The sequence below is a fragment of the Homo sapiens genome, chromosome 11, assembly GCF_000001405.40.
Source record: "Homo sapiens chromosome 11, GRCh38.p14 Primary Assembly".
Lineage (NCBI taxonomy): Eukaryota > Metazoa > Chordata > Mammalia > Primates > Hominidae > Homo > Homo sapiens.
The window spans coordinates 20,626,180-20,653,671 of NC_000011.10; the positions used below are offsets into that span (position 1 = coordinate 20,626,180).

The window sequence follows — 27,492 nt, forward strand, 5'->3', positions numbered from 1 at the left end:
GTCTAAGGTCACACAGCTAGTCAGTGCCAGATGTACAGTTTCATTTGAACCTAAATGCGTCTAATTCTAATATCATGTTCTTCTGACCTTATGGGACTGCCTCACTTAGGTATGTGTATAAACAGGGATGGAAAGCTTAAGCTAATAGGATTCATCTTTAATGGTGGAATTTTGGTGCTCTAGCGGGCATGGGCACAGAGCCCCCCTCCCTCCTTCTCTCTGTGGTCCCCTAAGGAGTTGTGTACTCATCAGCTGGGCTGGATGACATCTCCCCCAGCCTTCTGGCTGTAGGCCGACTCACCCCACAGCCTTGGGTCTCTCCTAAGAGGCTTTATTTCTAGCTCTCTCTGACTCACCTTTGGTCCCAGTGCCTTCCCTGCTTCCCCAGCCCTGGCTGCATTTGGGGACAACTACCCTGATGTGCTCTCTGTCATGCGCAGCCCCACTCTTCCCCGAGCAATGCTCCTTCTGCACAGGTGCACTCTGCAGGGCTGCTTCTTCCAGCCCCTCTGCCCATGGCTTTTCTAGGTGGTGTACTTCACGGCCACGTTCCCGTATGTCGTACTCGTGATCCTCCTCATCCGAGGAGTCACCCTGCCTGGAGCTGGAGCTGGGATCTGGTACTTCATCACACCCAAGTGGGAGAAACTCACGGATGCCACGGTGGGCTTCTAATTTTATCTATAACCAGCCCTGGGGGAGTGGCCCTCTGGGAGGCTTGGGCAAAAAGGGTTAGACTTCCTCCTCCAGGGAATCCCAGTGTGTGCTTTTATAAGAGCCTGATGATCTTGGTACATTATGCACTCAGGAAATATTTAATGAGAAGTGGACAACTGAGGGTTTTTAGATTCCTGGAATAGTTGTCCTACATCTGGGGTTATAGTAGAGGCCGAAAATGAAGAATGAAATCCCCTTAATAGCTTTGGGCCAACTCACATCACTTATCTGTTGCTAATTATAGAGTGTCGGAAGGGTAGTTTTGCTGGTGGGAAAATAACAGCACTTAGTGTAAACCACAAGCGATTCTATTTTAAAAATATTTTTACCTGAACCCTTTAAGGGCTCAGACACATCTGAATACTTTTGTGCACCCACACAGGGCCAGCACAAGCTGAACTTTGTCTTTGCATATTCTGTACAGGCATATCTAACTCTAAAATTTCCAATTCAAAAACTACAAATGAGGGGGTGATTGTTGAAGGGGAACTGAATTTTCTCACCTTAAAGGAAAACTCTGCTTTTCCAGGATGTGTTAAGATTGCATAGCTAGGATTGAGTTTGATTGCACAAAACAGAAAGTCTCCACTTAATAGCAGGTAGGACGTGACACTATAAAGTCTGCAGCGGCATAGAGGTTGCTTTACTGAGATTGGGGCTACAGAGTTTCAGAAATTTAATAGCAGTTGTAATCTGCAGAAATGTCAGTTAAAAAGGGTTTTGATTTTGCATCCGTTGTTATATTTTTCTGTTGTAAATTATTATTTTCTGAGAGTGTATTGACCTAAAGGAAGGACTCTCCCTTCCGTTTAGCTTTACAGGAGAGAACATATGAGCATGGTATGTAGTGTAGTTTATTGAGTTCCTCACCTTTGATAGAGGAAGTTAAAATCTCCCAGGTAATTGACTATGCCTTTGGTTTCCAGCACAAGTGATTTATGTTCTCATTGATGTTGATGTCGGGGGTCATCTTGTCCCTGATGTTTCCCCTGGAAACATGATATGGCACTGGGTGTGTGACTCCTCTCCCCTGGCGCCAGTCTCCTTCATGGGTCTTGAATCTCTTTCCCTTTTGCCTCTCAGGTGTGGAAAGATGCTGCCACTCAGATTTTCTTCTCTTTATCTGCTGCATGGGGAGGCCTGATCACTCTCTCTTCTTACAACAAATTCCACAACAACTGCTACAGGTATGTAGAGGTACTACAAGATCTGGGCATAGCTGGTGAGTGGGACAGAAGAATGGACTGAGTTATCAGACACCTGAGGCCACATCCTCACATTTCATCTTAGGGAGAGCTAAAGATTTGCCTCTGGCCTAGGAGAAACCACCTGCTAAGGCCTAGGCACTATCTTCTGAAGGCCTGGACCCTCACTTACACACCTGGCTCTGACACATGGGGGAGGCTCAGTGGCTATTTACAGGATGGAAGCAAGTTTGTCTGCAGGTCACTGTGCAGTTGGCTGTGTTCTGTGACAGTCATTTGTGAGCTACCTAGTCTGTGGATACAATGGACTGTGCCTTCAGATGGTCTTCCCTCTGTGTGGGGCTGTGACCTAATCTCCTCTTCTTATAAAGACCCCAGTCATATCAGTCACATTGGATCAGGGACCACTCTAATGACTTCATTTAACTTAATTACCTCTTTAAAGGCCCTATCTCCAAATACAGTCACGTTATGAGATGCTAGTGATTAGGATGACAAAATATGAATTTGGTAGTGATAGGGGAGTGGTAGGAAGACACAATTCAGTTCAAAATGACCTTGAGTAACAGACTATGGTATTTAAACTTCATTAGTCACAACTGCTCATTAACCATTGACCCAAATCAGTCTGAACACCATTAAAGGGTGAAGCATTGCTATCTTCTTTATTAGAAATGAGGCTGTGGTGTGGCAGAAATAACCCAGGCTGAGAGCTTGAAAATCTAGATTCATATCCTGGCCCACACTATTAATTAGTCCATTACCTTTCCCTGGGCCTCAGTTTCCTCTTCAGTAAACTAAGGGGTCAGACAAGGTGGATCATTTGCTGCACACTTGCTCTGTGCTAGGCGGTGCATAGTACAGGTATCATCTCATTCTCTCCTGGCAACAGCCTATGACAGATAGACTCATTGCTGCCATTTCAAATCAGAGTGGAAAGGAAGTGGATTGCTCAAGGTCATGCCACTAAAAGGCAGGAGAACCAGGATTTCAGTGTAGCCCTGGGTTACAGTGTAGCCCGTCTAGCTGTGACCTCACATTTGAATCTAGGATGACTGAAGGTAGACTGGGAAACCCTGGCTATCTTACCAGCAGCAGGCTCTGCGATGAAGGTAGAGACACTGGGCTCTCTTCCCTCCCCTGCCCCTTTGTCCTTCTCAACCCTGTGTGTCCCAACTCCAGGCTACCCTCACATTTTAGGGTCATTTGACTTTCCCACTGCCTTCTCTTCCCTCACACATAGTTCCTGTCCTGGAGCCGACCAAGGCCCCATCTCCTCAATTTCTGTTCTGATGAACAGATTTACCTCTGCCCCTGGAATAATGTCTTAGTTTGTTCAGATTGTCTAACAAAATGCCATAGACTGAGTAATATTTTTTCTTTATACGTTTTTTGCTTTTATTATTTTTAAATGACACATAGTAATTATGCATATTTATGGAGTACAGTATGATATTTCGGTACATGTATACAATGTGTAATGATCAAATCAGGGTAATTAGCATATCTACTACCTCAAACATTTATCATTTCTTTGTGTTGAAAACACTGACAGTTCATTCTTCTAGCTGTTTGAAAACATAAAATAAATTGTTGTTAATATAGTCATCTCATAGTGCTGTAGGATGATTTTTTTTTTTTTTTTTGAGATGGAGTTTCGCTCTTGTTGCCCAGGCTGGAGTGCAATGGCCAATCTCAGCTCACTGCAACCTCCACCTCCCAGGTTCAAGCAATTCAAGTAGCTGGGATTGCGGGCATGTGCCACCATGCCCCGCTAATTTTTTTTTTTGTGTGTGTATTGGGTAGACACGGGGTTTCACCATGTTGGTGAGGCTGGTCTCGAACTCCTGACCTCAGGTGATCCACCTGCCTTGGCCTCCCAAAGTGCCGGGATTACAGGTATGAGCCACCGTGCCCGGCTGGGATGGTTGTTAATATAGTCATCCTATAGTGCTATAGAATACTAGAGTTTATTTCTCCTACCTAGCTATATTTTTGTATCTTTAACTGACTTTTGGCTATAAACAACAGAAATTTATTGCTCACTGCTCTAGGGGCTGGGAAGTCCAAGTTCAAGGTGCCAGAATATTCAGTGTCTGGAGGGCTGCTCTCTGTTTCAAAGATGGCACCTTGTTGCTGTGTCTTCATATGGTGGAAGAGGCAGACACATTCCCTTCAGCCTATTTTATAAGGGCACTAATCCCATGAGTTGGCTCTGTCTTCATGACTTAATCACTTTTCTAAAGCCTCCACCTCTTAATACTATCAAATTGTGGATTAAGTTTCAGCCAATGAATTTGAGATGGGGGGATTCAGACCACAGCAGATGAGTTGAGACCCATTTATATAGATCGTGGAGTCAGAGCTTTGGCCCACAGGCCCTGAATCAGGGCTATTAGGGGATATCGTCTGAGCCTTTTGGTGCTTTTTAAGTGAGCCCAAGGGAGCCTGTGGTTAGGACATGAACGTACACGTATATGCCTACACATGTGCAGACAAACATGTGGGCACACATTTGTGTGTCCTTCCCCTTGTCCCTTTCCACTCACCAAGCACACCTAATGGAAAACTCTGGTCTCTTCCTTCCAGGGACACTCTAATTGTCACCTGCACCAACAGTGCCACAAGCATCTTTGCCGGCTTCGTCATCTTCTCCGTTATCGGCTTCATGGCCAATGAACGCAAAGTCAACATTGAGAATGTGGCAGACCAAGGTACAGGACAGTTGTTACCCTGCTGTTGCAGGGCAGGTCCCAGGCTCATGTCACAAGCTCCTAATTTAGACTATGCTGGGAAGCTGGCCTTCTGGAACAGGATAGAGGGTGGAGGAGCCCAGGTCCTTCTTTACAGAGGGACCAAGGCAGGCTCAAGTAGGAAGCTCACTGCAGAGTCAGAACTGGCTGGTCTCTAACTGGAGGGATTGCTTTAAAAGCCCTCTTTCCTTCTCCTTGCCTCTCCTTCCTCTTACCTTGCCCCTCTTAATTTAGCTCCAGTCTATAGAAATAAGGGTTATACCTGTTAGGTATGAGTAGAGAATTTATTAGGCAAACCATTGCCTCAGGAGCTGATGTGGGCACAGGCTGCTGTAGGATGACATTCATTGCAGAAGGCCCTGTCGAAACCAAGGCTTAGTGAGAGAACTGACTTCAGAGGAGCATTTTCCTTACAAAGCACTTTTCTGATTGTTAGGTCAAATGTGCTTTCAGGGCCTTCTGCTTAGTTAGCAATGCAGACCTGCAGTTTTTTTCCCCAGTGGGTAGAAATGTTGGATCGTGCTGGGTGGGTGGAGAGGCATGTGGAATAAATGTTTACTCTCTACCCAAATGATCTTTTTATTAATGGCTAACATTTGTATGGTGCTTTCAAGTTGACAAAGAGCTTTCATTTTTATTTCACTTAATCCATATTACTAGGACAGCATTTTGCAGAGAAAGCATTCAAGATTTTAGTTTAACTCTTCATTTTCACCCAGCCTGGTTCCACAAAGGATTTGTATATTTAGTAGGTTTCAGTGATCAAGGGATTTCATTGTGTCTGTTGTTTACCATTATGATCTCATTCTCAATTCAGACATTTATGGGATGCGTAGTGTGTTGGTCATGTGCCTCATGCTGTGGGGCATGACTGTGGCCCTGGACAACCAAGGGGCGTACCTGTGAGAGGCTTGTCTGGGCAGTTATCTTCCTTCAAGGAGCTGACTGCAATTCTCAGATAATGGCTCAGATGTGGTGAGAGAACTAAGCCCTGGAAATGTCACCTTCTTGGATACTAAGATTTCTTCTGGCTCCCCAAGGATAATTCATTACTGCGCCAATTCATGCTGATGGTGCACCAGGGGCCTCAAAGAGTTAAAGAGCCAGCACTTTCCAGGGGTGCAATTATCTCTCCCTGGAGAGAGTGTAAAACCCTGAGGGGTGTTTGGTTCCGCAGCAATGCACTAAATTAGAGGGGCCCCAGGAGATAAGCAATGGCTCTCCCTGGTTGAGAATTCTCAGATACCCTGGGAGGCAGGGAGGGAAAGTGAGAGGGTAAACGGGTTTTGTCCTTAGAGGTACTGGAGTCACTTCCAGCTGTCCTGTAACCTCATTTCCTCCTAGCAGAGTGGTTGGAGCAGATAGGTTCTGTCCCATTTTCTAGAAGATCTTAGGCATTTTGCTTTTTGTGACATTACTGAGTTCTTTTGGAACCAGTGGCCAACCTGCTAGAGACTGTGAATCCTGAGATGTGGGCCAGGTTAGTAAATGATTCTGAACTCTTTTCTGCTCCAGGAAACGGATTTCTGGGGAGATATTGCAAAAACTCAAACAGAATGTTGTTTATCTGGTGTGTAAAATTGCCAACAAATTGCCCATGTTTTCCTCTGAAATTTCTCCTTTCCAATGTTTTTTCACTTCCTTTGATTTGAACAAGGGTAGGGGCACTTCTAACAGGTTCTAACCTGTTGTGTTAATTCTTGTCTCTGGCACAGGGACGGGTGGGCCTCATCTCTCACAGGAGAAGGCCCATGAGATCTTCTCCCAGACCCACTGGGGAAGCTTTCCTGCTCATCTGAACCTGGATGTATTTTTATATGTGCTTTACAGGCTTGTCTTACTTGCCTTGATATAATGGAGGCTCTGCAGAATACAGGACAGAGATTTGGGGTCAGGCCTGCATTCAACCTGAGCCCCACTTCCTCCTTGCTGGGCAACACTGGCATATAGACATTCAGGACATTTTTGCTGACCCAACTTTGGTAACTAAGTTTTGATCTTTAGTCAAATAGAGGTTCTCTTTAATGACCTAACACTATGCGATTTAGTTTACCACTCCCTTCTAAAAGAGGCATTTCTACCAAAATGATCATCTTAAATCTTGGTCTTATCAAAATTTTGAGGGGCTGAGGATGGGATTGGTGAAGAGACCAAGCTGTGTTTTGCTTTTATGATAGGCATAGGGAAGGGGGCATGTTCTCGGGGAACTACTCTAGAAAAGCAGCTTCCAGGAAAGTTAGCCCTTCAGAGCCATCTCGCCACCATATGCATTACCACCTATGGAGCGGTGACTCATGTTCAGAATCTATCCTGAAGCCAAACAAAGATGCTTATCCAATAGCAGAAACACTGAGTTATACCAGAGTAGATAAGCAGAAATTTGCATATTTATTTAGCATTCCCAGGTGTAGGTAACTCTCAGCTAACCGGAGCACTAGAAATACTACTTTGGTTCCCTTGCCCCTTAATAGTTCAGATACCTTACTAATCAAAATAAGCATTCTCAAACAGCACTGATGTCCCACTTCCATGCAGCCATCTGTCTGTCACCTGTATCCCAATCCTTCTGCCCAAAGGCACAGAGGTCCAGGTGGCATATCCTCAGAGAGCTCATTCAATTTGTAATAGTTATCACAGCAGAGTGGCTACCCAAGCTGTGCCATGGGCCTTGATGCATTGCACTGACCAGAGCCCCTTGCTGTGTCTTTAGTGGCACTCTAGGATAAAGGAGGCTCTCATGGTAGGATCTCTGGGGACTCTGCTCAAGTTACTGAAATGAAGAGCCCCTTTGATCCCTTCTCATAAGAAGACTAATAATGGTCTATGTTTTCTGAGTTCATAGTATGTCCAGGCATTGTTCTAAGCCTTTTACTTGTGTTGATGCATTTAATTCTCACGGAAGCTCTATAAAGGTAGGTACTATTACTATTTCCATTGTGTGGATAAAGAAACTAAAGTTTGTCTAGAGAGAACAAGTGACCCCCTAAGTCCTCGGCTAGCAAGAGGTACAGCCAGTTTGTTTTTTGTTTCTTTTTGAGATGGAGTCTTGCTCTGTCACCCAGGCTGGAGTGCAGTGGTGCCATCTTGGCTCACTGCAACTTCTGCCTCCCGGGTTCACACCATTCTCCTGCCTCAGCCTCCTGAGTAGCTGGGACTACAGGCGCCCCCCACTACGCCCGGCTAATTTTTGTATTTTTAGTAGAGACGGGGTTTCACCATATTGGCCAGGCTGGTCTTGAACTCCTCACCTTGTGATCTGCCCACCTTGGCCTCCCAAAGTGTGGGGATTACAGGCGTGAGCCACCGCACCTGGCTGCCAGTTTTTTAATCCATGAGGAAGAGAGCCTGTACTCCAGCCACTGGGCTCTACTGCCTCCCAGTGGGAGAGGAGAGAGGCAGAACTTGGCCTTCATCAGACTGGCCATATACTCTTTTAAACATCTAACGATGTTATTCTCTAGATGACTCCGCTCCCCATCTGCCTTGGGTAAGTGGAGTCTGCTGTAATTTAGCTTGCAAAGAATGCCTTCACCTGGGTGCTTTAGGGAGGCAGCTGAAATGGAAGCAGACTGAATATTTTGAAATCACTTGTTTCCTCTAAAAAAGCTGTAAAGCCCAAAGGGTAGAATCCTGTTAAAGTGAGCAGCTGAGGACCTCTGGTAGTGGCCATTCAAGATCTTCTTGTCGGCTTTACGGGCCTGACTGTCGCCAGAACATTAAACTGACTTCCTTGTTGTTCTGCATTTGAGACCTATTTTGAACTTTAGTTTAATACAGACTTTTCTTTTACGGTTCACATAGGGAGCCTTCAGAGGCTGGCTCTACAGTCTGTTCAATAAATGCGTAAAGCGGGGGTATTTCTGGCATTTGAGGCTTTATATTTTAAATACACAAAGGCCCTAGGCAACATTAGGAACTAACAACCTGATAAATTCCAGTTTAAAAAAGTGCTGTTATGCTTGAGTTATAAACATTCTAGGTGCTGTGATTGCTGATTGTGGACGTGTGCTGGCTGTGGATTATCCCGGCGCCCACATTCACTTGTCTCTGCCCATTATCATTTAGTTTTCTACTTACAGGAAAATTCACAACTGCTGTGTCTTTAGCTACCTTTGATTACAGTAATCTTCCCAGTGAGACCGTGAGGCAGGGAGAATGGCTGGCAGAGCTTTACGATAGCAGAGAAAACTGCCGCTCAGACTTCCCCACCAAGACCACATGAAGTGTTCTAGAGAAAACCTGAATCAGAACCGCTAACTTCCAAGTTCATAGTCCACTCATAATAGAAGATAATATTCTGTGGGTGTTGATGATGTAGGGGGTACTGGGCTCAGTGTTTTACCTGCGTTTTCTCATTTGTTTATTGTAACCACCTTGTGAGGTCCTATTTTTGTCCCCATTTTACAGATGGACAAAATTGAGGCTTACAGAAATTAAATAACTTGTCTAGGGTTGCACAGATGGTAAGTCACGGAATCTGGATTTGGACCAGATCTAACCCTTAGAGACTGAACCCTCTTAACCCTTACATGATGTTTCATGCGCCGCCCCCCCGCAACCCGACTAACTACTAGGACTGATGTAGCCCCATTTATACCAATAGTGCAAGATCCTGAAAGTGTTAGATTCATATTTTATGTGAATGTTTTCTCCTGGAGGACTAAATAGGAGGAAGGGTAGTTAAAGGAAGAAATACTAATGCATGCCAGACTTAATACTTAGGTGATGGGGTGATCTGTGCAGCAAACCACAATGACACACGTTTACCTATGTAACAAACCTGCACATGCACCCCAGAACTTAATAAAATAAATAAAGGAAGAAATGATGTCATTCTGGTCATGTTCCAACTTTTAGAGCGGGGATTCTCAAACCTCAGCACTATTGACATTTGAGACAGGATAATTCTTTGTTGGCAAGAAGCTCTCTTGTGCATTGTAAGAGGCTTACCAGCATCCCTTGCCTCCACCCCACTAGATGCCAGTAGTTATCCTACCCCTACCCCCAGCTCACCCGTGAGAATAAAAAATGTCTGCAGACATTGCCAAATATCCCAAACATGGCAAAATCACTGCTGGTTGAGTACTACTGCTGTAAAGGCTAATTAATTACATTTTCCTTTAATTCATCCAATACAAAGATCCTATGTACATGGTACACAGCCTAGCCGTGGAGTCCAGTAGAGTTGCCTCTGAGTCTCTGCTTAGACACTATTTTTAGGCCTCTCCTGTGAGTTCTCCTAGCTGTTGACCTAATTCCTTTGGTCTTCCCCTTCAAGGAGCCTAAGGTCTAATTGAGGAAATGGATAGAGATGAGTAAAAAATAACCAACAGTGGAAGCAGCATATAAGAAGTAATAAATGAGGATCTCAGCAGAGAGAAGGCCCTCTGGGCTCTGGGAAGAGCAGCCTTGAGTAGGGCCTGCCTGCAATCATCTGTCTTGTTCCTTCCAGGGCCAGGCATTGCATTTGTGGTTTACCCGGAAGCCTTAACCAGGCTGCCTCTCTCTCCGTTCTGGGCCATCATCTTTTTCCTGATGCTCCTCACTCTTGGACTTGACACTATGGTGAGCCCCTTTTCCATCAGTCTCTATCCCATGCTCCTCTTGAAGACTCCCCCTCTCCTGGGTCCTGGGTTCACCCTTCAGGAGAGGGGTAGGCTTACGGGTGTCTGAATGTTTCTCCCGAGAGATCTAGAGATGCTGAAGTGCCTGTGTAGGGCTCAGGATCACCTTGTATTTTGGGTGCTCATGTAATGGTGCAAGAGAGTCATCCTCTCTCCTTCCTTCTCCCTCTGTTCTATGTGGCAACTTTTAGCCTGTGTATCTCCTGCCTTCGTGTCATTTTGCCAAAGCAAATTCTTTAGGGCTGGATAAAGAATAATGTGAAATCAATTTTAGGGAAATTGCTGTGGGGCTGAGACAACCGCAGATCATGCTGACAGGTGCTCAGAGTTTAGTCCTTGGGTGCAAAGAGGGTTTTTCCTCAAGTAGAAGAGCAAATGCAAGGTAAACTGGAGGAGAGGAATTTACATCTCATGAATACAAAGTGAAACTTAAACTGTCCTAATGGGTGAATATGAATGCAAGTCTCTGGGGGTTGGAAGTGCAATTTTTAAAGCTCACATCCTGCTTGGGTTCTCTTGGCTGCCTGTGGGTTGGACCCCAAGGAGGCTTTTTAGACCCATTGAGGGAATGCCATCCTAAAAACCAAACCTAACACAAATACAACTTTCCTGGATGGGACATACAAAGGGCTTGGGGGTACCTCCTGGGTGGTACAATTTGACTCAGATGTTCATTTCCTGACACGGTTCCAGTTTGCCACCATCGAGACCATAGTGACCTCCATCTCAGACGAGTTTCCCAAGTACCTACGCACACACAAGCCAGTGTTTACTCTGGGCTGCTGCATTTGTTTCTTCATCATGGGTTTTCCAATGATCACTCAGGTAAGCTGCCTCCTAGGCACAGGCTTGGGGTGGGGGCAGGAGGGTGGGGGGCCAATAGCTATCTGTCTTTCAACCCTTAGCTCTCAGACCTTATAATCAAAGGCAAATCACTACCATTTCCATGTAGATGGCACCAGTTCATTAGGGATTCTGACTGCAGAGGGAAATATGTCATCTTGGCTACCAGTGATGCTTCTAGTATCTTCATAATTGAGATGTAGCCTTATTGAGCCAACAAGGCAGGTGTGTCCTACTTTAAGAAAATAGGTGCAGTGGCGCATGTCTCTAGTCCCAGCTACTTGGGAGGCTGAGGCAGAAGGATTGCTTGAGGCCAGGAGTTCAAGGTTGCAGTGTGCTCTGATTGCATCTGTGAATAGCCACTATACTCCTGCCTGGGCAACATCGTGGGACCCTGCCTCTAAAAAGTAAATAAAAAATTAGGAAAAAGAAAACAGAATACATAAAAATCTTTATTTACCAATCAGGTACAATTTCTGATGATTAATGTCATGTATGAGTCAACAGCCACTGCAGTTTCTTCCAGTCCCAAGTGTCTTGGTAAATTGTGTTAGCTTACTCAGTATATATATTGCTTTTGTTGTCTCTGTGGCCTTGAGCAAGTTAACTACTCAGGGCTTTAATTTCTTCTTCTGTAAAATAATGGATTGGAATGTGAAGGTCTCTACACCTTATTTACTGTAGGGAGACTTAAAGATTGAGGTAGAGATAATGTGGGGGTGTGTGAGAAATACCCAGAGACACCTAAAGGTCATCGGAGGGTCAATCGAATGCAGATACATAGGTGGAAACGATCAATTGCTTAAAGCAAAAATAAAGCAATCTGGCTGCTTTCACATATACTTCTTCAGACCTTGACCTTTGCCTTTCAAGAATAAGATGTTAAATCGCTTTTTTTGGTGCTTGTTATATTGATTAGCTCGGAGCCTGTTGAGGAACTGCTTTGCTGACTCAGCAAGGCCTCCAGCTTACATGCTGGACCAGGTGTAGGTTACTGCTACTGAGAGGAGGGGAGATGCATGGACTCCTGTTTGCACCTGACTCTTTTTAGGATTGAGAGAACTGGCTGTTAAACGTGGGAAGAGACAGCCTGGCTTCAGGACGCATTTGATATTGGTTGTTTCTCTCTCCTGTTAGGGTGGAATTTACATGTTTCAGCTTGTGGACACCTATGCTGCCTCCTATGCCCTTGTCATCATTGCCATTTTTGAGCTCGTGGGGATCTCTTATGTGTATGGTAAGGAAATCACTGTGCCTGTTGCTGAAGTAGAGCTTGAGTGTCGGTAAGGCATTCATGGCAAGCAGATTTCCCATACTTAATAAGACAATACAGGGCTTAAATTGCAACTATTTAGGAAACCTAAGAGAGCTGCACTTTTGTTTCTAAACTTGCCTCACGACCACTGTGATCCAAATTTAATAGGGAAACAAGAGGTGGCTGAAGGCGAAACTTAAAAATCTTTGTATCAGAAATTCCTAGGACTTGGACACCCCTTTGGGTATGATCTGGCATTTGAACAGTTAATGCTTTTGAACAATGGCCAGATCAGAAAGGAGGAGGCTACTTTGCAGGCGTGAAATTATTTCCTGGTATTCAATACCCATGCAGCTTGAATTGAGGGGTAACTTTGTAGCTGGTCCCTGGGTACTGTAGTGAGAACAGAGACCACTCAGCTCACAGATCCTTAGGAAATTGTATTAGCATCATAGGAGCCTGTGATGCAATATCTCAATCTCAGATTTTTCCAGGAATAGACTTCCAGTTTATCCTTCCTACTGTCACAATAGCAACCGGCATGCCATATCAGTGGGGCCATTATCAACAACAGAAATGGTGAGCTATCAGATGCCATCTTTTCCCTTTGTGTGGAGGTGTTTGTCCTTGGGGTTTCAAGGGCATCTCCTGGTCCCTTGTATGCACTGTCGGTGAGTTCAAGAAAGTCCTATTTGATTCAAGGCCCTACTGACTTCTTTCTGCTTGGAAGCCTGCTCAGAACTGTCCTGAGGCCTCACTAATATATATATAAGGCCACCATAGCAAATATCAGGAAGGCGAACACTTCCAGTTCAGACTATCTAATTGCACTTCAGATCCCAAAAGAGACAGCAACATATTCTAAGCTAAAAGGAAGTGCAAGATATTATTTGGAATGCAGGATATGCTCGAGGGACAAATGTACCCTCTGAAGCCCAAAGGAAGAGGGGTCTAGGCCAGAGGGGTCTGCAGAGCTCTGGTCTTTAAACTGGGGGCCCAGCAAAGCTCACCCTAACCTCCAGGTACCCCTGTTATGAGCATCTTATTTTTAATGTAATTGTTAGCCTCCACCGAAGAGGTGCTTAACAGCTTCTTGCTTTTCTGGAAAACTCATTAAAATAAAGGGGGTGGAGTGGGAATCAAGATGGAAAAAGAAACCTCCTGTGTAAACCTCCTGGTACTCCAGAAACAGGATGATACCTGCAGTCAATTTTGGGCATTAGTAGAAGGGGAATTTGTCTCAGACTAGAGATCACATCCCCACTGCAGGGAGAGTTTAGTTCCTGGCAAGAGAGGTGGGCAGGCATGCCAGCTGTCCTGATGAGATCAGAGACCAAGCTGCCAGCACTTTTGGCTGATAAGACCGCCTAGATCCTGCAGTGATTGAAGACCTGCTGTCGGAGTTAGGGTGAGGCTTCAAAGTGCTTTTTACTTGAGCAGAGAGTGGTAGAAACCCAGTGAAATCCACCACAGCGTATCTTAACTTTGTGCCCAGAAACCAAAGACCTTGCCAGGAGAGGCAAAAAGAAGCCTCCAAGGTCTTTCTTTGGCACCTCAGCACCTCATGGGTCAACATGTAAGCTGAGGTCACTAGACGATCAGTTGGCAAAGTCGGGAAAGCACTTTATTTGCAGCACTGGCCCAAGTGCAAGTAACTATCTCATTTACATCTTCTGTTACCTGTACCCTAACTGCTGATTGCCACAAAGGGCACGTTTGCACAGTTCTTCCCTATAAAACAGGGCTGTTCAGGATGGTTTAAAACATCATTAAAATAGAAACCTTAATATTTCTGTTTTTAGGAATTAAATAGTCTCCCCCGCATCCCCATACAAATCTAGTCATAGGTTTCTTAGTTCTGAAGGAAAAAATAAATCCTGAGTGCTTTAGTCCCTGGGCTATGTTAATTTTCCTTGGGACCACCCAGGGAATCCCCTGGTTTCTAAGTAAGAGTGCTGGTGTTGGGCTTGCCTCCAGAATCAGGTTGACTCTGTGCTGGGCTCAGGTTGAACCTGACTTCTGCAGTGTCGGATGTGGGTGTGCGCCTCTGATTTGGATCTGGATGGAATTCTAAGAAGTGAATCTCAGGAAGAAAAATAAGCTAACATGACTGTTTGAGGTAAAAAAAAAAAAAAGAAGAAAAAAGCCTGCACAAATCTGTAATTTATATCCCAGAAGACAGTGTATTCTTTATTGAGATGATGAGGCCCCAGACCAGTGCAGGGTTCATTTAAAATAGTGGAACATAAACCTGTGAAGGGTTAAAATGAAACTGACTCACTTGATGTGCTACCTTCCTAGCCAGAATTAAAAAAATAAGCCAGTGAATTGAAGACATTTGTGTTTTCTTCTTGTTTCTAATAATCTCTAGATTCTAGAGGATATCATCCAAACATTTGAAATATGGTAGGGACAATTTTCAAGTTTTATTTATTAGATTGAAACAGTTGTTTGACGTTCTCAAGTCAACATGCCTCAATGGCCAATAGCTGGCTTCGAGGTATCCAGGTTTAAAAGTAAAACTCCCTTAGTTTTGTGTAGAAGTGGTCCCTTTAGCAGACTTTTATCTAAGTAGAGTCATTTTGAAAAAATGTTTTGCATTTTTTCTGGAGCCAGTACAGGGGCCTTTTGGCTGGAGAAACAATGTGATTGAACAGCCACTACCAAGGTCTCCTGCTTGCTAACTGCCTGGCTCTTCATTGTGTATTTCCCCAACCTCAACATGGAGTGGTCTTGATCTGTTTTCCATGTCAGTCAGTTACTTGTTTCACATTCCACCTCCCAGATGGCCTCTCTTCACATTCTTGTGAGAAATGTTAGATTCACAGCAGACAATGGCTTTTGCTTGATGGACTATCTGTTTTCAGTTCTTGCCCATCCTGATGGCTGAACTCAGCAAGATTTTTTAAAGTACAAAACCCCCCAAAAACAACAAAACAACAAAAATAAACTGTACCCCTGAAATCTGCAAATTCAAGCTTAATTTATTTCTCTGTGAGCCCCCTCCCTGAGCTCCACTTTCCCTTATGTTTTTATCTGAAATGTCATGGTATACACCACCAATTTCAGGGTGTAGTGTTCCCTAGTTCCATTTTCTGGTACTCAGTAAATTTTAGGAATGAGAGGCTTTAGCTCATTAATAACTCACACAGGTAAATGTGTGTGAGTATGTCATGTGGGCTTTTAAGAATGTGGAGAGGGTGGGATAATGTCCTATAGTCATGGAACTTGCCAACTAGCTCCCAAGGAAGAACACACACACTTAAGACACTGAGGAGAAGGACAGTGCTAACTGTGCATCCCTGGCTGTGAGCCCTTTTGTTGCCCAGAGATAATGGAGGGTCAGAGTAGTCAGAAAATCCTTGGAGGTGGCATCTCAGAGAAAAAATAATATAAAATAAATAAACACTGGGACTTAGGGAGTATTAAGCTGAGGGCCCTTCACAGTAACTACAAAAGAATGACTTGGGGATTTACTTGTCCAAAAGTATACACAAGACTGGAGACGTAATTTGTGGGATATAGTACTAAATGAAAATATAGAGTCACTTGTTAAAAAAAAATATGAAGTTCAATATGGTAGCTGGAGAGCGCTAAACCAGGTGTGGTTCCTCTCTGAGCACAGAGATCTGTGTGCTCAGAGAGGAACCACACCTGGCCACCCAGGAGGGAGAGCAGCCCCCATGAACAATATCCAGACCAAGGGCACAGGTGTGGTTTAGAGAGGCAAAAGCCACAAAGGTGCATGGGGGAAAGTGATTGACTGGTTGAAGCAACTCTTTGACATCTCAGTTCAGGATCTTTTGGTCGTATGCAGTTTGTCATGGACTGATTTCTGAGCCTCATATCTGTTTGAGTCTAAAATAATAGCCATGAGTTCACCACCTTCTTTCCCCCCTGCTGTTTTTCTGCTAATTCAGACGCATTTTTGAGAATCAGCTGCTCAGAGCCCTTTTGGGGCCTGACTACTTGCTCTCTTACCCCTCCAGGCTTGAGGTCATACAGCAGGCAAGTCCCTCTTGCCCATGCTCAAGGCTCCAAGAACAGTTCCTTTATCATGAGTTAGGCCTTGAAGGCAAGATGGATGTGGATTAGGGGAAAGGAGAAAGCAGGCAGAGGAAACCATATAAACAGAGGCCTAAGATGAAAATAGCTGTTGACTCAGTGAAGGACTCAGGTGGGGACTTGGATGTGGGCCAGGGCCTGGGTGCTGGGAGTGAGGCAGAGGCTGGAGGAACTGGAGAGCTTGACTCAGGAATGGCACGGTGCAGGAGGGTTGCGTGACAGGGGAAATGTCTTTCCGGGGTCCAAACTGGCCCTGAAACCCAAGCCTTTTCACTCTTGGTCCCAGGACTGCTCCTCTTCATTAAGTTGTCTCTTGCTGAAAACTGAGCACCCATGATCCACCCCTTCCTACAGCTTGGGGTCCAGCTCTTTATCCCCTCTCGGGGAGCTTGAGCACTTTTACCATGACCCCCTCCTCTTACAGGAGGCTGCTTATGTGTATTCCTTAGGTCTAACCTTGAGCCCTATCATATCGGTGTCCCCAGTCAAGCCACAAGCCACCATCTCTTGGGGATGGTTTCATGAAGGGGAACAACATGGCAACAGGATTGATGCTAATAATAGAAATTTCTAGAATCTCTCTCTCTTTTTTTTTTTTTAGAAAAAGAACTGAGGCCTGCTGTTGGTGCTTTATATATATTTTTGAGGGCCTCAGCTTTGACTTCTATTTATTTTATTCTCTCCCCTCACTTATGCTCAGAAGGCCTAGTGATCAGAGGCCACTCATTTGAAGGTGTGTAATAAAAACTAAAGGAGACTAACAAATCCAAAGATGATTGGGTCAGCTGCTCAAAGCATGCAGTTCTTGCCTGTAGACCCAAGAAAGCAACCTGGAGTGTCCTTGCGTCATGGATTGACCTCTCCGGAAAAGCCTTAAGAGCTCATTTGGCTCAGTCTCCCCAATAAACAACAGCTTGGGCAGGAAGACTGTTTCACCTAAGGTCACACAGTGAGTCAGTAGAAGAACTGGGGATCAACTCTTGGACCTTAACTCCCAGTCCAGTGCTCTTTCCACTGTACCATGTTTGTGACTGACTGCTGTCAGACTTGCCTTAAAGTAGAGCAGGAAGCTCAGCTGCAACCTAAGGCATTTTAGAGTGAGCTGGGAAAAGTTGCCTTGGATGAATCGTCATACTGTTCCCAGCACAGGCTCCTCTACAACAGTCCCGAGGCTTGGCGGCCCTCCATGGTGGCTGCTGTCAGGGGTCTGGAGACTCGCTGTACATGAGGGGTGGCTGACATTCTCAGTCTGAGCTTGGTAGGAAGTAAAAGCAAATGTCAGGAGTGGAGGGCTGTGAAGGGTCTCAGGATCCATTATTTTGATAGTCGTGTCTGGAGTGGAGTTTTTTGAGTTAATTTTAAGATTGAAGTACAATGTACATACATGATATATTTTTCATTTATTTATGTATTTTTTATTAGATACTGACAAGTTATAATTGTATATATTTACGAGGTTCAAAAGGGATGCTATATGTGTTATACAATGTGGAACAATTGAATCAAGCTAATTGACATTTCTATCACCTCATATACTTATCATTTATTCCTCCTGTCTAACTGAAACACTGTATCCTTGACAAACATCTCCCCATTTTCCCCATTCTCCAACCTCTGGTAACTACCATTCTGCTGTCTCCTTCTCTGTGTTCAATTTTTTTTTTAGATTCCACACGTAAGTGAGAACATACAGTGTTTGTCTTTCTGTGCCTGGCTTATTTTACTTCGCATAATGTCCTCCAGGTTCATGTTATCACTCGTGACATCATCTCCACTCTTTCAAAAGGCTGAATGGTACGCCGTTGTGTATGTACACCACACATTTATCCATTCATCAGTTGATGTGCACTTATGTTGATTCCATTGATGCTGCAATAAACATAAGAGTGCAGATATCTTTTGGACATACTGATGTCACATCCTTTGGATATACACCCAGTAGCTGGATTGTTGGATCATATGGTAGTGCTATTTTTAGTTTTCAGAGGAACATCCATAATGTTTTCCATAGTGACTGTACTAATTTACATTCCTACCAACAGTGTACTAGGGTTACTTTTTGCCACAAGAGCATGTATCTTGAGTGTACAACTCAATGAATTTTCACCCCAATGTAACCAGCACCCAAATCAAGATATAGAACATCAGCAGGGCCATTTTTTTCTTTTTCTTTTTCTTTTTTTTTTTGAGACAGAGTTTCGCTCTGGTTGCCCAGGCTGGAGTGCAGTGGTGCGATCTCATCTCACTGCAACCTCTGCCTCCCGGGTTCAAATGATTCTTCTGCCTCGGGCTCCCAAGTAGCTGGGATTACAGGCATGCGTCACCATGCCCGGCTGATTTTTTGTATTTTTGGTAGAGATGGGGTTTCACTAAGTTGGCCAGGCTGATCTCGAACTCCTGGCCTCAAGTGATCCACCTGCCTCGGCCTCCCAAAATGCTGGGATTACAGGATAGAGCCACCATGCCTGGCCCAGCGGGTCCATTTTTTAAGGGTCTGAATTGAACTATTCCATTCTGCAGAAGGAAAACTCCAGTCTCTGCTTTCTAGCCCAGCAAGAGATTATCTTCTCACATCACATCCATCCTTCCCCACTTCCAAGTAGTAGAGGGCACGCATTGAAAATACAGGACCAGGAAGGATAAGTGGGGACTGAGGTGGGGGTGGTGGGGGACACTGATCAGATGAGGGCAGCTAGTACAGGTGGTGTCCAGGGAGATGATGGCAGAAGTGGGAGAGGTGGCCAGTGAAGGCAGGAAGAGGAGCACCCAGAGACTGAATTCACCTGCTCTGGTGGAGCTCAGGGCAAAAGACCCAGAAATCTGAGGAGGCTGGGAAATCCTGAGAACAGGAGGAGCAAGCGACCAAGGTCTAGAAAGAAGGCCTGAAAATGTACAAGGAGTATTCTTGATGGGAGGAGATGTTGGTATGTCCCTCTTGACCTGCAGGTACCCACTTTTCATGAAAATGATGGAGGATGAAGGAATGATGAAGTGTTTTTTTTTTTTTTTTTTTTTGAGATAGAGTCTTGCTGTGTCACCCAGGCTAGAGTGCAGTGGTGCGATCTCGGCTCACTACAAGCTCTGCCTCCTTGTTTCACACTATTCTCCTGCCTCAGCCTCCCGAGTACCTGGGACTCTAGGCGCCCGCCACGATGCCCAGCTTTTCTGTATTTTTAGTAGGGACGGGGTTTCACCGTGTTAGACGGGATGTTCTCGATCTCCTGACCTCGTGATCCACCTGCCTTGGCCTCCCAAAGTGCTGGGATTACAGGCATGAGCCACCACGCCCGGCCAGAATGATGAGTTTTTAAGCTGAGGCCATGTTGAAATCAGAGCTGCTGACTATGAAGGAGCTTGAACTTGGAGACCGTGTAGGTCCATTCAACATCTTAATCCCACAGTCCTGGGAAGGCCACAGTTCTGATGAGGTGGGGAAAGAATGCAAGAAACTGCCCAATTCTAAAATATTTCTCAATGCCTTTTTCTTTCAAGGAGTGGTTTTAAAAACCTTCCTAAACCAAGAGGGTGCAGGGATGGCGGTTGTCTAGGGCCATGAGAGTAACCATCTCCTCTGTTTTTACTTTAGTGAGGTTGATGAGTGACCAAGAAGACAGCAGTCCTTTGAGTTCCAACAAAGTGGGTGATTGACACTTGGAATTTACGTTGGTTTTTGTGTGCTATTATCATCTTGCACGGCACAAAGATAAATGACTCATTGGAAGAGTGGCTTTGGGAGGGTGGGGGATAAAAGCCGGTGTGCAATGATTTTCTCTCTAAATTCCAATGCTTTCAGAATATGCTCTGTTTATTGACCACAGTCTTCACTGGTTTTGCCAGAGTTGTCACTAAGCACCTCAGAAAACAGCTGCACATGTGAGATGTCAGGTTGTAGCAATGCTGAGAGTCTGGGCCAGGCTGGAACTGAACTTTTTAGATGTCACTGCAGGCTGACATTTTTTAATCTCACCACAGAGCATATTTAATATCTATTTAAGTGTTCAATTTGCCTTAATCTTCCTGGCAGCGAGTCATTTGTCTGATGGTTCCCTGCATAATAGAGGTCATGTTGATACAGGGCTGGGGCCAGCCCTAGCCAATGGTGCTTGAGTGAGGGGCTCTAGTGCCTGCCCTGCCACCACCTCACCTTCCTGCTACTGTGCCTTATACCTGTTCTCTGCTTGTCTATTTGCAGGCTTGCAAAGATTCTGTGAAGATATAGAGATGATGATTGGATTCCAGCCTAACATCTTCTGGAAAGTCTGCTGGGCATTTGTAACCCCAACCATTTTAACCGTAAGGATTTTGCATGTTTTCTTGTGCAGACAGCACCTTGCATACGTATGTGGTGTTTTACATTTGAACAGTGCATGCCTGTTTACATTTGAACAGTGTGTGAGCCTGGGAGCTGGTAGGTTGGGTGGTGGTCTTGTCTTTCAAATGAGAAAACTGAAGTTCAGAGAGTTGAAAAGACTTGCCTAAAGGTGCCTAGCAGGTCAGGTGCAGAGCTAGGACTCATGCAAAGGTCTTTGGAGAACATTTCCTATGGCACATTTCCCATTATATCAGTTCCTATATATATATATAAATTTATATATATTTATATATATATCAGTTCCTATATATATAATATCAGTTATATATATTCCTATTATATAGGAATTCCTATTATATAGTTATATAGTTATATATATAACTATATATTCCTATTATATAGTTATATATATAACTATATATTCCTATTATATAGTTATATATATTCCTATTATATAGGAATTCCTATTATATAGTTCCTATTATATATATATCAGTTCCTATATATATTTATATATATATCAGTTCCTATATATATATATAAATGTTCCTATGGAACATTTCCTATGGCACATTTCCCATTATATCAGTCTGCTTTATGTACTAATAATGGCTTACAATCACAGCCACGTTTTCCACGTGCTAATTTGCTGTAGGCTTTGTTCACAGTGCTTCCTATGTATAGCCTCATCTCTCCCTCACAGTAGCTCCTCAAGGTTGGCATTATAATTATCTCCACTTTACAGATGAGGAAACGGAAGCCCAGAGTTGATGTGACTTGCCTTGCCTTGTACATCTAATAATTATCAACAGCTTGGATTTGAACTTAGGCGGTCTGCCTCTAGAATTCATGCTCTTAATCACTGTTCAACACAGCTGCTCTACAACTAATATAGCATTAAGCTTTTATGCTAATTTTCATTGCTTTTGAGAACTACCTTGTCATCTTCAAGTGGGATGATGACATTTTGGGATCATCTGACATTCACCTTCTTAAAGATCAGAGCCTTTCACGTTTCAGAAAATCTGCAGTTCAGGGTCTTACATTCTCATTTTGTCACCTTTGTTATTGTGCTATAAGCTGCCAGCTTTGCCCCACTTCACACTGCAAACACAGCAATTGACAGAGATCCTTCCCCATCCTCCTCTGTGGCTTGTACAGGTGTAATTTTGGGAACGCTGGAGGATGTTGGCTGTAATTCCCACAGAATCCAGTAGGTGGCACTAGAAACCAGATTAAGGCCTTTGTTTTGCTATTACACATGGTCCCAGTTTCCCTAAAGGCAACCAAGACAGGATGAAAGTACAATCGCAGAGGGAATACATTTTTTTCTTTCTTTCTTCTTTCCTTCCCTCCCTCTCTTCCCTTCCTTCATAAAATGAGTTTTAATCAAAACATCTCAATTTCTTTCTGAAAAGCTAGAAATGTAGACAGAAAAATCGTTCAGCATTGATCTCCCTCTGCGTTGACATGAACATCATACTGAAGCTGACATCTGTACCTATATTTTAGAGTCTGCAATTTGTCTGAAAAGTCCCACCAGATTTGGGGCATGAGAGTTGAAAAGGGTAGGCTTTCTATCTCTTGAATTCAGGACTGGAATGTATATGAAGAACTTGAATTTACCTAATCGGTGGGAAGAGAACATCTGCGAACAGACAGACTCACAGGCCTCCGGTGTTCCCATCTCTACTGCACTTGCCCTCTTCCCCGGATCCTAACACTCATGGTTTATGCTTGATTAAAATCAAAGTTAGAACATGTTCTAGATTTCCTCTTGCTTTTCTTCCCACCCCAAAAGATACTGTGCTTCAGAGGATTTTATTATACTCTGGAATAACATTTCACATAGTAATAATCAGCGCTGCTATTTGTTGTGGTCTATATGAGGCAGGCACTTCATAAGCATTGTTTCTAAAGCTTAGGACCACTTTGCCTGCTGGGTGATTCCTCTCTCATTTTACACGTGTGTGCACTGAGGCTTGGAGAGGTCAAGGAACTTGCCCCAGGCCACTAGATTTGGAGGTGACAATGCCAAGAATTGAATCCAGGACTGTCTAAGCTTCAAGCCAATACCTATATATTATCTCTAAAAACCTAGTACTTTCATCTTCAATTAGAGTTTGGCCAGTTTGGATTAAAATAGTTCTAATCATTTTTGTGAGCAGAATGTCAGAGAAGAGGAATTTTACGGACTTCCTGTTTTTTGAGAAAGTTCCTCAACTATGTTGTGCTTTACTTAGTTTCTAATATAAATCTTATGCCAGAAAGTTGTGGAGAGGTCCCAGAAAATATCCTGAACCAGATTCCCCTTCTGTGTTGGCTGGGAAGTAAGGACAATGAGAAGGGGTCAATTCCATCATCATTGTCAACTGATGAGTCTCCCTCCAGCACCTTCTTTGGCTGCCATCACAAAAAGGTCAGGGTGTACCTGACTCAGTGGCTAAATTATTATCTCTCATGGCCAGTCCCAGCCAAGGACAGGGTTTCATCAAAGTTAACTTGGCAGAGGGAAATTTATGGCAAAGGACAAATTTGCCCGGGTAAGTTTGATATGATATTTGTGCAACTGGAAATGAGTGTCGGAGGACCAAGCCCAACACTTATTTTTTGCCATTTGCCCTTCTATAAAATGGATATTTGTGGTGTGCTGGAATAGGCTAAGATTATGGGTTTAAATTACTTTGGAGCCCCTAAAACGAAATTGATCATTTTTATATATGCCTTCATGGATTTATAGAGCTATAAATATTCTCCATGCAATTACTGTATACATAGTCAGATCACGTTACTGAGTTATGCATGCACATAAGCAGATGTATTGCTATTTATATAGTAAATGAAATGGAGCAGCTTACCATAATTACATTAGGCCATACTTACAATACTCTGGTTAATAAAGTTTATAACTCTAGGGACAAATGTTTAAAAAGGGGCCTAGAGTAGACATCTCTTTCCATAGAAGACTTTTTTCCAACAGTTGTCTTTGGGCTCATGTTGCTTTGAATCAATATATTGAATTATTATTGTACTGAAATAATCACTTGCCCCAGCTGCCTGGGCTTTGCGGCAGTAATACAGATGCCTTACATCCATCTAGCACTTCACACTTTTCTAAAACACTTTCATACATTATCTTTCCTGGCAAAATTCCTTCCAATCACTTTTGCGCAGTTATTTTGTTGTTTAAGTTAGGAAGAGAGGGGTGGGGAGAGGAGGAGAGGACTTACATAGGTACATTATTCTAGGCTGATGTTGCTACAGGCAGGGTGAATACAGGGAGCCATACACTTTTCAGGGAAATTTTCCCCCAAAGGCTTGAGTAGAGAAGTTAGAACCTTGGCTCCACTTTTTAAAGATGCCTCCATTTTCAGCACTTAAATTCCTTTCTTTCTCTTCAGCTGCACTGGCCAAGTCTTCAGAGGGGTCTCATGGCTGTTGCTAGCCCAAGTGTGCAGTGATAGGAGTTAATGGGCAGAAAACACATCATGACCTCTCTTAAAATCAAGGGGGGACTCATGAGTAAATACCAAACTATCATTTCCAGAAAACCCCTGTGTGGTATACACAGAGTGAGATATATCCATTTTATGGCAGGGAAGTCTGTGACATAAAGGTCCCCTCAGCTAATTAGTGGTTGGGCCAAGATCAGCCTGCTGGTCTCCGGGGTCACGGCTCACCACTTGGTGATGACGCCTGTTCTTTTTTTTTTTTTTTTTTTTTTTTTTTTTGAGATGGAGTCTCGCTCTGTCGCCCAGGCTGGAGTGCAGTGGCGCGATCTCGGCTCACTGCAAGCTCCGCCTCCCGGGTTCACGCCATTCTCCTGCCTCAGCCTCCTGAGTAGCTCGGACTACAGGCGCCCGCTACCACGCCCGGCTAATTTTTTGTATTTTTAGTAGAGACGGGGTTTCACCGTGTTAGCCAGGATGGTCTCGATCTCCTGACCTCGTGATCCGCCCGCCTCGGCCTCCCAAAGTGCTGGGATTACAGGCGTGAGCCACCGCGCCCGGCCAGACGCCTGTTCTTATTGAGTCATTTAAGGGGAGCTGTGCATCCCTTCTGTTTGTCCCATAGCTTATTATAGGACCAAGCTTCCAGCTCAGTCACGGCCCGGGGACCACTCTGTGTCTCACTCAGCCAGCATTAGAGGAAGCTCCGGGATGTGGGCCATTCCTCATTCCAGAAGAAAGCAAAGTAGATTCAATTTTTTAAAAGTAAAAATACATAAACGGAATGGGTTTCCCCTCCCTCCCCTTCCCTTCCCTCCACCCCCCACCCCTCTTGCCCTCTCCCCTCCCCTCCTCTCCCCCACCCCTCCTATGCCCTTCCCTTTTTCCTGAGACCGAGACGCGCCCTATTGCCCAGGTTGGGGTACGGTGGCATGATCTCGGCTTACTGCAGCCTCTGCCTCCCAGGTTCAAGCAATTCTCCTGCCTCAGCCTCCCAAGTAGCTGGGATTACAGGCGCGTGCCACCATGCCTGGCTAATTTTTATATTTTTAGTTGAGATGGGGTTTGACCATGTTGGCTAGGCTGGTCTCAAACTCCTGACCTCAGGTGATCCACCGCCTCAGCCTCCCTAAGTGCTGGGATTACAGGCATGAGCCACTGCGCCTGGCCTGGGTTTCTTTCTTATAGCAAAAGCTTGATTATTACCCCTTACAGAAAATACGGGCTGGGCACAGTGGCTCACACCTGTAATCCCAGTACTTTAGGAGGCCGAGGTGGGCAGATCACCTGAGGTCAGGAGTTTGAGATCAGCCTGGCCAACATGGTGAAATACTGTCTCTACTAAAAATACAAAAATTAGCTGGGTGTGTGGCATACATCTGTAATCCCAGCTATTCGGGAGGCTGGGGCAGGAGAATCGCTTGAACCTGGGAGGGGGAGGTTGCAGTAGCTGAGATCACGCCATTGTACTCCAGCCTGGGTGACAGAGTGAGACTCTGTCTCAAAAAGAAAAAAAAAAGAAAAAGAAAATACAGAGAACTCCTTAAAAACACCCACTATCACCCCTGCCCACCTCTGCCTATTTGTGACCTTGGTATGTATCCTTTAAACTTGTCTTCTCTGCCTGTCTGTATGTATACACATGCACACATATTGCTCCGCTCCCATGGTTTGGCAAATGCAGAGTCAGCAGCTCAGAATATATCATTTCCATCTCTTTGAAATTTAGTTTCTTCATTTGAAAAATGGATTAATAATACTACTCTTTCGTGGGTATAGAATAATAGAGACGAAAGCATCAAACTCATAACGGGGGTTTAATAGTGTTGAGTGCTTGAATAATTCACGCCACCACCCTAACACGTGTGTCACTTTTCTCTTTCCAGTTTATCCTTTGCTTCAGCTTTTACCAGTGGGAGCCCATGACCTATGGCTCTTACCGCTATCCTAACTGGTCCATGGTGCTCGGATGGCTAATGCTCGCCTGTTCCGTCATCTGGATCCCAATTATGTTTGTGATAAAAATGCATCTGGCCCCTGGAAGATTTATTGAGGTAATTCTGTCTACTTCTTTCCCTCCCAATTCCTCCCAAGGGAAAGCCCATAAAAGCTCTGCATGTTAAAAAACAAAAGATTCGGTAAACTTATTCAAGAGGGAGACTTGGTGATGAAGCGATTACAGTTGCCACCGTTTCTGTTAAACCCATTTTTATTATGTATGATTCCTCTAATGGAGGGGCTCAGCCAGTCTGCAAGCAGAACTGTTATTATGCTGGTCCTCAGTGTGGTGACAGCTCTGGGGAATAAATGATCGGAGGGTCTCCTCTTTCCTGGAGTTTCCTCTTCCTCTCCCCTTATCCACAGTTTAAATCTCAGTGTTTTGTTTTTAACCACACATCAGATTCCCCCTTCCCTGATGCTCCTCTCTGTCTAAGCCTTCTTCTTCCCAAACATCTATTACCATTAAACTTAAAATCACTACCCCCTCCTGTTGTGCCTCTGTTAGGGATGGTTGAGGGTCTCAGCTGATTAAAATGTCACTGTTCCCACAGAATGTAGTGAGAATTTCAGGACGTGGCTGGTATGAGGTGAGACTTGTCTTTCTTTGTCAATTGATCCCTTGCTGGACCCAATTCCCATCTCTAATGTGAAGAATCCCCACTGTCACTCCTGAGTGAATGGGAAGGGGACTGCCTCTTGTGCCACCAGTGAAGTGTGGTCAGGCTTTTGTTATTTATGAGGAGTCACTTGCTCAGGTGTGCTAGGAATCACTCAGCCCTGCCTCGGTCTTGAGGATCCAGGAATCTGGCATTTTGGACTAAATCAGGGCTACTTAGGGTTTGCTCCTGAGACCAGCAGCATCCTTCTCACCTGAGAACTTGTTGGAAATGCATATGATCAGAATCCAGGCAGAAGACTCCTACTGAACCAGAGTCTTGGGGAAATGGGACCCTGGCATCTACAGTTTAACAAGCCCCCTCGTTAGCGAAGCATTGGACTAGACTCAGGTGATAGAAGGCAGAGAAGAACAGTTTGGGCTTTGCTGTTGGTCTGATGGGTTGAAAAAGGAATGAAGAAGGAACAGGCCTCTGGGTTATCCCATTGAGGCTCTGGAGGGGAGACAGAGGATGGGAATCAGGCATGTGGTACGTGCACAACACAAAAGTCCACTGGGTGGGGAGGTAGCTTTTGTCTTCATTGGACTAACGGTAGAGACAGAATTAGCAAAAGGAGGTGTAGGAATCTTTTTACTGCAGCTGTATTCTAGT

At 44.4% G+C, this 27,492-nt stretch overlaps 1 protein-coding gene across 4 annotated transcripts in view; it reads left to right on the plus strand.

Annotated features, from left to right (window-relative positions):
- SLC6A5 (solute carrier family 6 member 5) overlaps positions 1–27,492 on the plus strand; it is a 59,678-nt gene that overhangs the window by 26,572 nt on the left and 5,614 nt on the right. For all 4 annotated transcript variants that reach the window (XR_007062528.1, NM_004211.5, NM_001318369.2 and 1 more), the window contains 8 exons: positions 529–663; positions 1,801–1,904; positions 4,512–4,636; positions 10,128–10,240; positions 10,993–11,124; positions 12,280–12,379; positions 20,655–20,755; positions 26,110–26,277. Coding sequence is in view for 3 of the 4 variants with exons in the window: in NM_004211.5 (NP_004202.4) it covers positions 529–663; positions 1,801–1,904; positions 4,512–4,636; positions 10,128–10,240; positions 10,993–11,124; positions 12,280–12,379; positions 20,655–20,755; positions 26,110–26,277 (978 nt within the window). In the remaining variant the exon portion in view is untranslated. The remainder of the gene's footprint in view (positions 1–528; positions 664–1,800; positions 1,905–4,511; positions 4,637–10,127; positions 10,241–10,992; positions 11,125–12,279; positions 12,380–20,654; positions 20,756–26,109; positions 26,278–27,492) is intronic.